The 11,308-nt window shown below is 47.4% G+C and overlaps 4 annotated features.

The window, feature by feature from the left end:
* Positions 5,966–6,085: an enhancer, noted in NCBI's record as "active region_18620". NCBI's record gives its function as "activates an Ori minimal core promoter by ATAC-STARR-seq in GM12878 lymphoblastoid cells {active_cell/tissue: GM12878}" and the evidence as "EXISTENCE:reporter gene assay evidence [ECO:0000049][PMID:35858748]".
* Positions 6,156–6,425: an enhancer, noted in NCBI's record as "active region_18621". NCBI's record gives its function as "activates an Ori minimal core promoter by ATAC-STARR-seq in GM12878 lymphoblastoid cells {active_cell/tissue: GM12878}" and the evidence as "EXISTENCE:reporter gene assay evidence [ECO:0000049][PMID:35858748]".
* Positions 9,120–9,858: an enhancer, noted in NCBI's record as "H3K27ac-H3K4me1 hESC enhancer chr22:17787810-17788548 (GRCh37/hg19 assembly coordinates)". NCBI's record gives its function as "activates a minimal SCP1, AML or CMV promoter by ChIP-STARR-seq in naive H9 embryonic stem cells {active_cell/tissue: H9 hESC(naive)}" and the evidence as "EXISTENCE:reporter gene assay evidence [ECO:0000049][PMID:30033119]".
* Positions 9,859–10,597: an enhancer, noted in NCBI's record as "H3K27ac-H3K4me1 hESC enhancer chr22:17788549-17789287 (GRCh37/hg19 assembly coordinates)". NCBI's record gives its function as "activates a minimal SCP1, AML or CMV promoter by ChIP-STARR-seq in naive H9 embryonic stem cells {active_cell/tissue: H9 hESC(naive)}" and the evidence as "EXISTENCE:reporter gene assay evidence [ECO:0000049][PMID:30033119]".

Raw genomic sequence — 11,308 nt, forward strand, 5'->3', positions numbered from 1 at the left:
AGGTCTGGTGGTGACAAATATCAGCATTTGCTTGTCTGTAAAGGATTTTATTTCTCCTTCACTTATGAAGCTTAGTTTGGCTGGATATGAAATTCTGGGTTGAAAATTCTTTTCATTAAGAATGTTGAATATTGGCCCCCACCCTCTTCTGGCTTGTAGAGTTTCTGCTGAGACATCCGCCGTTAGTCTGATGGGCTTCCCTTTGTGGGTAACCTGGCCTTTCTCTCTGGCTGCCTTTAACACTTTTTCCTTCATTTCAACCTTGGTGAATCTGACAATTATGGGTCTTGTGGTTGCTCTTCTCGCGGAGTATCTTTGTGGCATTCTCTGTATTTCCTGAATTTGAATGTTGGCCTGCCTTGCTAGGTTGGCGAAGTTCTCCTGGATAATATCCTGAAGAGCTTTTTCCAACTTGGTTCCATTCTCCCCGTCACTTTCAGGTACACCAATCAAACATAGATTTGGTCTTTTCACGTAGTCCCATATTTCTTGGAGGCTTTGTTCTTTCCTTTTTATTCTTTTTTCTCTAAACTTCTCTTCTCACTTTATTTCATTAATTTGATCTTCAGTCACTGATCCCCTTTCTTCCAGTTGATCGAATCAGCTACTGAAGCTTGTGCATGTGTCACGTAGTACTCGTGCCATGGTTTTCAGCTCCATCATGTCATTTAAGGTCTTCTCTATACTGTTTATTCTAGTTAGCCATTCATCTAATCTTTTTCCAAGGTTTTTAGCTTCCTTGTGATGGGTTCAAACATCCTCCTTTAGCCTGGAGAATTTTATTACCGACCTTCTGAAGCCTACTTCTCTCAACTCATCAAAGTCATTCTCCATCCAGCTTTGTTCCATTGCTGACTAGGAGCTGCGATCCTTTGGAGGAGAAGAGGCGCTCTGGTTTTTAGAATTTTCAGCTTTTCTGCTCTGGTTTCTCCCCATCTTTGTGGTTTTATCTACCTTTGGTCTTTGATGATGGTGACCTAGAGATGAGGTTTCGGTGCGGATGTCCTTTTTGTTGATTTTGATGCTATTCCTTTCTGTTTGTGAGTTTTCCTTCTAACAGTCAGGTCCCTCAGCTGCAGGTCTGTTGGAGTTTTCTGGAGGTGCACTCCAGACCATGTTTGCCAGGGTATTACCAGTGGAGGCTGCAGAACAGCAAATATTGCAGAACAGCAAATATTGCTGCCTGATCCTTCCTCTGTAAGCTTTGTCCCAGAGGGGCACCCGGCTGTATGAGGTGTCAGTTGGCCCCTACTGGGAGGTGTCTCCCAGTTAGGCTACATGAGGGTCAGGGACCCACTTGAAGAGGAAGTCTGTCTGTTCTCAGAGCTCAAACACTGTGCTGGGAGAACCACTACTCTCTTCAGAGCTGTCAGACAGGGATGTTTAAGTCTACAGAGGTTTCTGCTGCTGGCTTTTGTTCAGCTGTGCCCTGCCCCCAGAGGTGGAGTCTACAGAGGCAGGCAGGCCTTGTTGAGCTATGGTGCGCTCCATCCAGTTCGAGCTTCCCCTCTGCTTTGTTTACCTACTCAAGCCTCTGCAAGGGCAGACGCCCTTCCCCCAGCCAGGCTGCCGCCTCCCAGTTTGATCTCAGACTGCTGCGCTAGCAGTGAGCAAAGCTCTGTGGGTGTGGGACCCACTGAGCCAGGCGTAGGATATAATCTCCTGGTGTGCTGTTTGCTAAGACCCTTGGAAAAGGGCAGTGTTAGGGTGGGAGTGTCCCGATTTTCCAGGTACAGTCTGTCATGGCTTCCCTTGGCTAGGAAAGGGAAATCCCCTGATCCCTTGCACTTCCTGGGTGAGGCGATGCCCCACCCTGCTTTGGCTCACCCTCCATGGGCTGCACCCACTGTCCAACCAGTCCCAATGAGATGAATAGGTACCTCAGTTGGAAATGCAGAAATCACCTGTCTTCTGTGTCAATCACGCTGGGAGCTGCAGACTGGAGCTGTTCCTATTCGGCCATCTTGGATCCGGACCATCACCACAAAAACTTTTTTAAGTCCATCAAGGAAACAGAAGTGATCTGTTGTTCCAGATTTGGGATAATAAAAGAACACGGGCTCTGACTTGGATCATGCTGTCCTCCTGTCCCGGCTCTGCTCCCCGCTTGCCTGTCACCCTCCTGGACCTCAGTGTCTTCAGCTGTCAGACAGCAGTAATGTCTCTTAGCATTATAGGCATTATTAGATAAAGGCAACATAAGTAAGACACCTAGCATGGTGTTCATGCTTAACAAATGCTTCTTGCTCTTGTCACCCCACACCTTTTGTTGGTTAAAACATGAAATCCACATATTTTACTTTACCCAACTTGATTTAAAGGTATAAAAGACAAAATGAATGTCGAAAATGAAATCAGGCTGGGTATGGTGGCTCGCACCTGTAATCCCAGCATGTTGGGAGGCCTTGGCGGGAGGATGGCTTGAGGCCAGGAGTTTGAGACCAGCCAGGGCAACAAAGTGAGACCTCATCTTTACAAAAAATAAAAATAAAAATAGCTGGGCATGATGATGCACACCTGTAGTCCCAGCTACTTGAGAGGCTGAGGTGGGAGGGTCGCATGAGCCCAGGAAATTGAGGTTGCACTGAGCCAAGATCGCACCACTGCACTGCAGCCTAGGTGACAGAGCAAGACCCTGTCTGAAACAAAGTGTAGCATTTGACCCTTGCTGTTTTACTAGAGGGACTGTTTGATAATAAAATATTGCTGGGGTGTGGAGTTCCTATGTGATATGGGAAGTTTCTATGTGATATGAGAAGACCCTCCCTAAATCTGGGCAGCCCTGTAAAACCCCTTGTACTCTATAGCTTCATACCAAACACATTTGCATTACAGAGTTCTCTAGCATTTCTACAATAGAAATTTGGAACAGGAATGGTGGAAATAGAAACATAATTAATGGAGGCAGAAAATCCATAAACAATTATGTCTCTGCAATAAACACCAATAGCGAGAAGCAACCAGACCAGTATGGGCTGTGGCTGTATCAAAACGACTGTACTGGGCCAGAGACCTAGCCCTAGTCATCCCTGGTTAAGGTAATTAATCTTCCAGTGAGAAGATAACATTATCTCTACATTGTGTTTATGACTTTATATTATTTTCAATTCGGTTTATTTTCCCAAAACAGTGACTTTGGTTAATTTCATTTAGGGATTCAAGGTATTCTTCTGTTTGCTTTCTAAAGTTCTGAATTAAAAGAACCCTACCAAAATAGTTAAGGAGGGAACTGTGTTTCTCAACAAGACTGAAAGCTCTTGTTTGTTGTAGCGTCAGAGGCCAGGGCTATGCCTGAAGGTAAGCACTCTCTTTGCTGGGAACGATTGATTGGCTTGAAAGAGATGGACCCAGACAGAGGTGTGGCAATGACCTTGTGCCCAGAGCAAGCAGACATGTGACCTGCCCCCTATAGGATAGTGCCTGAGAGGATCTTTCCTTGTTTGGTTGGTTGATTGGTTGTTTTTTTTTTTTGAGAGACAGGGTCTCACTCTGTTGCCCAGGCTGGAGTGCAGTGGTGCAATGACAGCTCACTGCAGCCTCAAACTCCTTGGCTCAAGCCATCTTCCCACCTCAGCCTCCTGAGTAGCTGGGACCACTGGCATTCACCACCTCCCCCAGCTAAGTTATATATTTTTTGTAGAGTTGAGGGCTCTCTATGTTGCCCAGGCTGGCCTGAAACTCCTGGCCTCAAGCGATCATTCTGCCCCATCCTTCCCAAGCACTGTGGTTACAAGCATGAACCACCGTGCCTGGACGTCCCTGTTTGGGGTACTGCTCCTTACAGCAGGAGCTAGCCAGAGCAGGGAAGAAGGGTAGAGAAAAAAACTGGAGAAGAATGAGAAAAGAATATCCAATAGTCCCGTTCCTGGCCCAGCCTAGCCTACCAGATTGTTGCCCAAACAACTCCTCCTCTAAACGCCCCTCCTCCTGGCTCATTCCTGTTCTGCCACCTCTACACCCCAATAAACCTTTCTCTTCCCAGGGTTCTGCTCTTTGTGTAGCAATTTGCTAAACAAGTATTTTGCTAATGGGCAAACAGGAGAATGCTAGACTGGATACTCTTGGGCTCTTGGTAACAATTTCATATTTAGTAGTGGTTTCTGGGTAGACAATGGCTTTGCTCATCAGAATTGTAAAAGGCCTGGAAACCTAGGAATGATCTTTTTTTTTTTTTTTTTGAGATGGAGTCTCATTCTGTCACCCAGGCTGGAGTGCAGTGGCTCAATCTCAGTTCACCGCAAACTTTGCCACCTGGGTTCAAGCAATTCTCCTGCCCCACCCTCCCGAGTAGCTGGGATTACAGGCATGCACCACCGCATCTGGCTAATTTTTATAGTTTTAGTAGAGACAGAGTTTCACCATCTGGGCCGGCTGATCTTGAACTGCTGACCTTGTGATCCACCCACCTTGGGCTCCCAAAGTGCTGGGATTACAGGCATGAGCCACCGCACGTGGCCAGAATGATCATCTTTATCATGAAAATGAGTTATCTGCAGTTCTGCCCAAAGATGACCAGGGTGGTCTTATAGACTGAAGTGGGCTTCTCCAGCCCACAAATTCAAATGTTGAAGCCCTGGCCCTCAATGTGACTGCATTTGGAGAAGGGACTTTTAAGGAGATGATTAAAATGAAACGAAGTCAGCCGGGCGAGGTGGCTCACGCCTATAATCCCAGCACTTTGGGAGGCTGAGGTGGGTGGATCACCTGAGGTCAGGAATTTGAGACCAGCGTGGCCAACATGGGGAAACCCCGTCTCTACTAAAAATACAAAAATTAGCCAGGCATGGTGGTGGGTGCCTGTAATCATAACTACTCGGGAGGCTGAGGCAGAAGAATCACTTGAATCTGGGAGGTGGGAGCTGCAGTGAGCCAAGATCATGTCATTGTACTCCAGCCTAGGGACAAGAGCAAAACTCCATCTCCAAAAAAAAAAAAAAAAAAAAAAAGGATTAAATGAGGTTCTAAGGATGGAGCCCTAATCTAATACAATGGGTGTCTTTGTAAGAAGAAGAGAAGAGACAGCAGGAGTGCACACAAAGAGGAAAGGCCATGTGAGGACACAGCCAGAGGCGGCCTTCTGCACACCAAGGAGAGAGGCCTCAGGAGAAACCAACCTTGCCAACATCTTGATCTTGGACTTCCAGCCTCCAGAACTTTGAGCAAATACATTTCTGTTGTTTAAGCCCCCAGGTCTGTGGTATTTTATGATAGCAGCCCCAGTTGATTAGTACCGATAGTCAATGGCTACAGGGGACGATTCTGTCAGTACACTAAGCTGTGGGCAATGGTGCCACAGAACACATGGGGGCACCTTTAGAGAGCTTCAAATTCATGCCAAGATTTGCAGGGAACATTGTTTTCATGTTGGGACAAATACAGATAATTTATGGGATACAATGCACAATTCACTTGACTTTTTTTTTTTTTTGAGATGGAATTTCCCTCTTATTGCCCAGGCTGGAGTGCAATGGCATGATCTTGGCTCACCACAACCTCTGCCTCCCAGGTTCAAGTGATTCTCCTGCCTCAGCCTCCTGAGTAGCTGTGATTACAGGCATGCGCCACAACGCCCGGCTAATTTTGTATTTTTAGTAGAGATGGGGTTTCTCCATGTTGGTCAGGCTGGTCTTGAACTCCCGGCCTCAGGTGATCCACCCGCCTTGGCCTCCCAAAGTGCTGGGATTAGAGGCGTGAGCCACCACACGCGGCCCGCTTGACTTTTTAAGCAAAGAATAATATGACAAAGACACGCCTCCCGCAGCAGTATTCTCCATCGTATCAGTTTGTGTTCAGCCAGGAAAATCGGCACTCCAGTGCAGCAAGCTGGTTCCACAGGTGCTGAGGGACTTACAGCGCAGGAAGCCGTTGCTACTCCTAGGGTTAGGAAGACACAGTAGGAGATGACGTTGCCGGGCTCCTGAAGACAGGGTTCCGTGTTAGTGGGTGGAGGTGATGAGGGAAGCTGGGACCAGGAAGGGAGATGATGTCCAACTAGAGATGGAACTGTGCAGGAGACACTGCCTTTGCACGACATGGGGCCCTTGCAGGAGGAGGAACACCCTGCCTTCCTCCTGGCTCCCACACTCCAGTCTTCTGCAGTGCCCCCAACAGCCAGAAAGCATGGGAGATGGGGAAATGTGGTTCCCGACCAAACAGGCTGGAGCAGAGCATGGGGTAGTGAGGACAAGTGGGCCCGCAGGCTGCAGGTGGGTACATTGTGGTGAGAATGGAACCACAGGAAGCATCGGCGTAAGGGACTTTCCTAGTGCTGACGCCTACGTTAGGGGTGAAGGGTATTTCATCATGAGTAGATGAGGTTTCTTCTTCAGCCTCTTTCCCTTCGACATGGAGAAACTGTGATCTCTCTGTGTGCTTGGCTCTGACTTCATGATCATGGGAGAGCCTGGCTGCTCTGGCTGTGGCCATTTCCAGCTCCCATCCCCCCTTGTCCCAGCAGGACAGGAGGGTTCTTCGTTACCCAGGAACGGCCGTGATGGTCACCTGTCCTAATCGTCCTCTCGTCCCCAGGCCGCTGCTGACTCCTGGAGGCTCCCGGGCTTCTCTGGCACTCTGTGCCTTTGTGGCTGTTCCCCAGCGGATCCCCCAGCCACTCCTGCCTGCCTACATCCTACTTATGCTTCCAAGCCTGGTAGTGGACATGGCCCTTCCTTCCTCCAGGCTGCTTCGGTGTGCTGTTTTACCCTGTGCTTGGCACTGACTGACATTCATCCTCTTGCTATTGGACTGCGTCACTGACAAGGCTGTTTAATCCACTGACCTGAAAGCCCTGGAGGCAAGGGCTGTGCCTGTCTTTATCCCAGTAGCCTCCACCAGGCCAAGGAGTGCCCTGCACTAGCACACAACCCGAGTCTATCAAAACGAAACTGGGGGCATTTTGTATGATTTTTCAGAGAGTGGGTCATTTTCGCAAATCTTTGTGCCAAGCCAGAAAGACCCAAGTGTAGAATGTACCACGGTTGTAGGTAGTAGCTGCAGCTGTCACAGTATCTTGAACCTAAATACCTTGCCTTTCTTTTTTTTTTTTTTTTTTGAGGTGGGGTGAACAGAGTCTGGCTCTGTCGCCCAGGCTGGAGTGCAGTGCTGCAATCTCGGCTCACTGCAGCCTCTGCCTCCCGGGTTCAAGCGATTCTCATGCCTCAGCCTCCTGGGAAGCTGGGATTACAGGCACGCACCACCACGCCTGGCTAATTTTTGTATTTTTAGTAGAGACAGGTTTCACCATGTCAGTCAGGCTGGTCTCAAGTGATCCACCTGCCTCGGCCTCCCGAAGTGCTGGGATTACAGGTGTGAGCCACCACACCTGACAGCTTAATATTTTTATAATAATTGCATTACTTTTTAAGATTGTTGAGCTCAATTCTAAGGAAAATGCTTACTGAACTACCTGAGAGGCACAGTGCATCATGGTCCCCTGGAGGCCTCTCCAGTCCCCACTGCGGAGCCCAGTGCTCAAGTGCACAGCTCTCAGGCCCTCCCAGCACCACCCTGCCAAGGCAAGCTGGCATGCTACTTTCGGAGAACAGGAGAAGCTAGGGAGAATGAGGCAGCCAGGGAGGCTCCCCTTTTCTCTGACTTAAGTTTCTTCTACCCTGTCAGGTTGATCTCTTCCCTGCTCCTAGCATTTGATCATCCCCTTGGAACCACGTTAATTGTTTTTGGGGCTTTTTGCTTGTTCAGATAACAGTCTGGTATCATCTTCAAAGGCCAAATGTCTGGAAGAGAAACAAGATGACTTCTAATAATTTACCAGCCTCTGCCTCTGATTAAGAATTCTGGACACTTTAACTTATGGGGCCTATTATTAGGAAGCTCAAAGTTTTAATTAGAAAGGGTGAGGAGATTTGTGCATTAAGAAGGGTTTAGCAGTTACTCTTAGTTTTCTCGGGGAACACTCTAGTATGTAAGAAAAGAAAAAATATATAAAAGGGGCTGAGAAGTGTCTGACCCAATGGGTATTTTATTTGTTTGTTTGCATTTTAAGTTGTTGTTGTTGTTGAGACAGAGTCTCACTCTGTCACCCAGGCTGGAGTGTAGTGGCACAGTCTTGGCTCACTGCAACCTCTGACTCCCGGGTTCAAGTGATTCTCGTGCCTCAGCCTCCCAAGGAGCTGGGACTACAGGTGCCCGCCATCACACCCAGCTATTTTTTTTTTTTTTTTGTATTTTTTGGTAGAGATGGAGTTTCGCCATGTTGGCCAGACTGGTCTCAAACTCCTGACCTCAAGTGATCCTCCTGACTAGGCCTCCAAAAGTGCTGGGATTACAGGTGTGAGCCACCGTGCCCAGACCTGAAGTTTTTGTTTGTTGTTTGTTTGTTTTCTAACTTTGAAGTGAAAGAGCAGTTTCTGGGTGACAGTCTCATTACTCTTCATTTTTGTTGTTGTTGTTGTTTTTGAGACAGAGTCTCACTTTGTCGCCCAGGCTGGAGTACAGTGGCGTGATCTCAGCTCACTGCAACCTCTGCCTCCCAGGTTCAAGCGATTCTCCTGCCTCAGCCTCCCGAGTAGCTGGGATTACAGGTGCGTGCCACCATGCCCAGCTAATTTTTGTATTTTTAGTAGCGATGGGGTTTCACCATGCTGGCCAGGCTGATCTCGAACTCCTGACCTCAAGTGATCCACCTGCCTCGGCCTCCCAAAGTGCTGGGATTACAGGCGTGAGCCACTGCACCCGGACCCCATTACTCCCTTTTAAGAGTTCCCTTATCAGCAAAGAAACACCAAACTCACCAAGATAGTGTAGGAAGCTGGTTCGAGATCAATTGTCTTTGTGTGTTGATCTGGAAAATATATCAGAAAACTTAGCTGGAGAATGAAGGTAGTATTTTCTACTGTTTTCTCTGGGATGTTCTAGACACTGGCACTGGAAATAGCTCTGGTGGCCTGAAGAGCCTTGCACAGTAGGGAGCCCTAATGTTTGCTGATAAACAAATCCCACTGTGATTTGTTGGGGGTATATTTCCTGTCTTCTTTACTCTGCAATCAGCCAAAAGTATGCCGGTGATGGTTGTTGACTAGCAGTAGCTAACAGTGCCTAAGACTTTTTCTCTGGAATCAGACTGCCTGGTTTGAATCCTGGGTCCACCAATGAGGAGCTGCAGGACCTGGGGCAAGTTGCTCTTGACGCTTATTTCCTCTCCTGTGTGTTCTAATATTTTGAATAGAGAGTACTAACTAACAGGAAGAGAGCACATCAGACCTTCCCCACCATGGCCCAAGAATGTGGAATCACATTCTTGTCAATATTGTCAGCTCACAGAGTATTATCAGTTATCTATTGCTGTGTAATAGATGATTAGAAATTGAGCTGCAAGGCCAGGCGCAGTGGCTCACTCCTGTAATCCCAACACTTTGGGAGGCCAAGGCCGGCAGAGCACCTGAGGTCGGGAGTTTGAGACCAGCCTGGCCTACATGGTGAAACCCCGTCCCTATTAAAAATACAAAAATTAGCCAAGCGTGGTGGTGGATGCCTGTAATCCCAGCTACTAGCGAGGCTGAGGCAGGAGAATCGCTTGAACCCGGGAGGCGGGGTTTCAGTGAGCCGAGATTGTGCCATTGCACACCAGCCTGGGCGACGAAGCGAGGCTCCGTCTCAAAAAAGAAAGAAAGAAAGAAAGAGAGAGAGAGAGAGGGAGGGAGAGGGAGAGAGAGAGAGAGAAAGAAAGAAAGAAAGAAAGAAAGAAAGAAAGAGAGCTGCTTAAAACAATAATTATTCATTTTTTCTCTGTTTCTAAGGGTCAGGAATCCAGGCATGGCTTAGGTGGCCTCTCCTTAGGTTGCAGTCAAGATGTGAGCTAGAGTTTTAGTCCAGTCTGGGAAGTGAAATCCCATCACTTTCGCCCCTCTCGTCAGTGAGGCGTTTGAGTCCCAGAAAGATGAGGTAATTCGCCTAATCACCGCCATCTTCTCCTTGCAAAGCTGACCTGACCATTTTCTGAAGACTGTTCTGTAGGGTAGGGATAAGGTTTCAGGTGCCTGGGGTGCAGCAGAAGGAAGAAGGCAAGGGGAATGTCGTTTTGCAACTGAGCTGTGGCCCAGAGCTGGGCGAGACAGCGAGCTCTGTCTCAAAAAAAAGAAAACACAGGTATCTTACAGGGGCCGGGGCAGGCAGGTAATATAAATGTTTGAGGGCTGGCTGGGAACTCTCATGAACCAGAGCCCATGTCCCATCCAGTGCAATGGCCGACCACAGCTGCATGTGGGGAAAGGACAGCTACAATGCTGCCAGATTTCTCAATTTTCTCAGAGAGGCAAAAAATCGGGATATTGTGTAAAGTACTCTAATTTTTAAAGTTCAGTAATGGATCAGAAGAACTTTAGCAATAAGTGAGAAGTAGGAAATTAGGGTTCAAATCCTGTCTCTTTTTTTTTTTAATTTTTTATTTTTTTGAGTCAGGGTTTTGGCTGTGTTGCCCAAGCTAGAGAGCAGTGGAGATTGTAGCTCACTGCAGCCTCCAATTCCTGGGCTCAAACAGGAGCCCCACTATATATATAGATATATCTATCTATCTATCTATATCTATCTATCTATCTAGATCTATCTATCTATCTATATATAGATTTTTTTTTCTTTTTGTAGAGACAGGTCTCACCATGTTGCCCAGGTTGGTTTTGAACTCCTAGGCTCAAATGATCTTCCTGCCTTGGCCTCCCAAAATGCTGGGATTACAGGCATGAGTCACCACGCCTGGTCCAAATCCTGGCTCTTATTAGCTGTGTCCTTGGGCAAATTACTTAACTTCTCTGTGCCTAAATTTTCTCATCAGTAAAAGAAGCTATTAATAGTGCCTACTTTATGATGCTATTATGAGGATTAAATGAATTCATAGTAAATGCTACATGTGTTTGTTAAATAAATAATATTTAAAAATTTAAATACAGGCCGAGCACTGTGGCTTACGCCTGTAATCACAGCATTTTGGGAGGCCGAGGTGGGTGGATCACTTGAGGTCATGACTTTGAGACCAGCCTGGCCAACATGGTGAAACTCTATCTCTACTAAAAATACAACAATTAGCTGGGTGTGGTGGCTCATGCCTGTAGTCCCAGCTACTCAAGAGGCTGAGACATGAGAATCGTTTGGACCCGGGAGGTGGAGGTTGCAGTGAGCCGAAATCAAGCCACTGCACTCCAGCCTGGGTGACAGGACAAGATTCTGTCTCAAAAAGGAAAAAAAAAATTTAATGTAGACCAAAGAAAACACATCTGGGCCAATATCCAGCTCTTAGGGCACCAGTGTGCAATCTCTGGCTTAAATACATGTGTATGTATGCATGTATACATGTGCC

Source organism: Homo sapiens, chromosome 22, assembly GCF_000001405.40.
Source record: "Homo sapiens chromosome 22, GRCh38.p14 Primary Assembly".
NCBI lineage: Eukaryota > Metazoa > Chordata > Mammalia > Primates > Hominidae > Homo > Homo sapiens.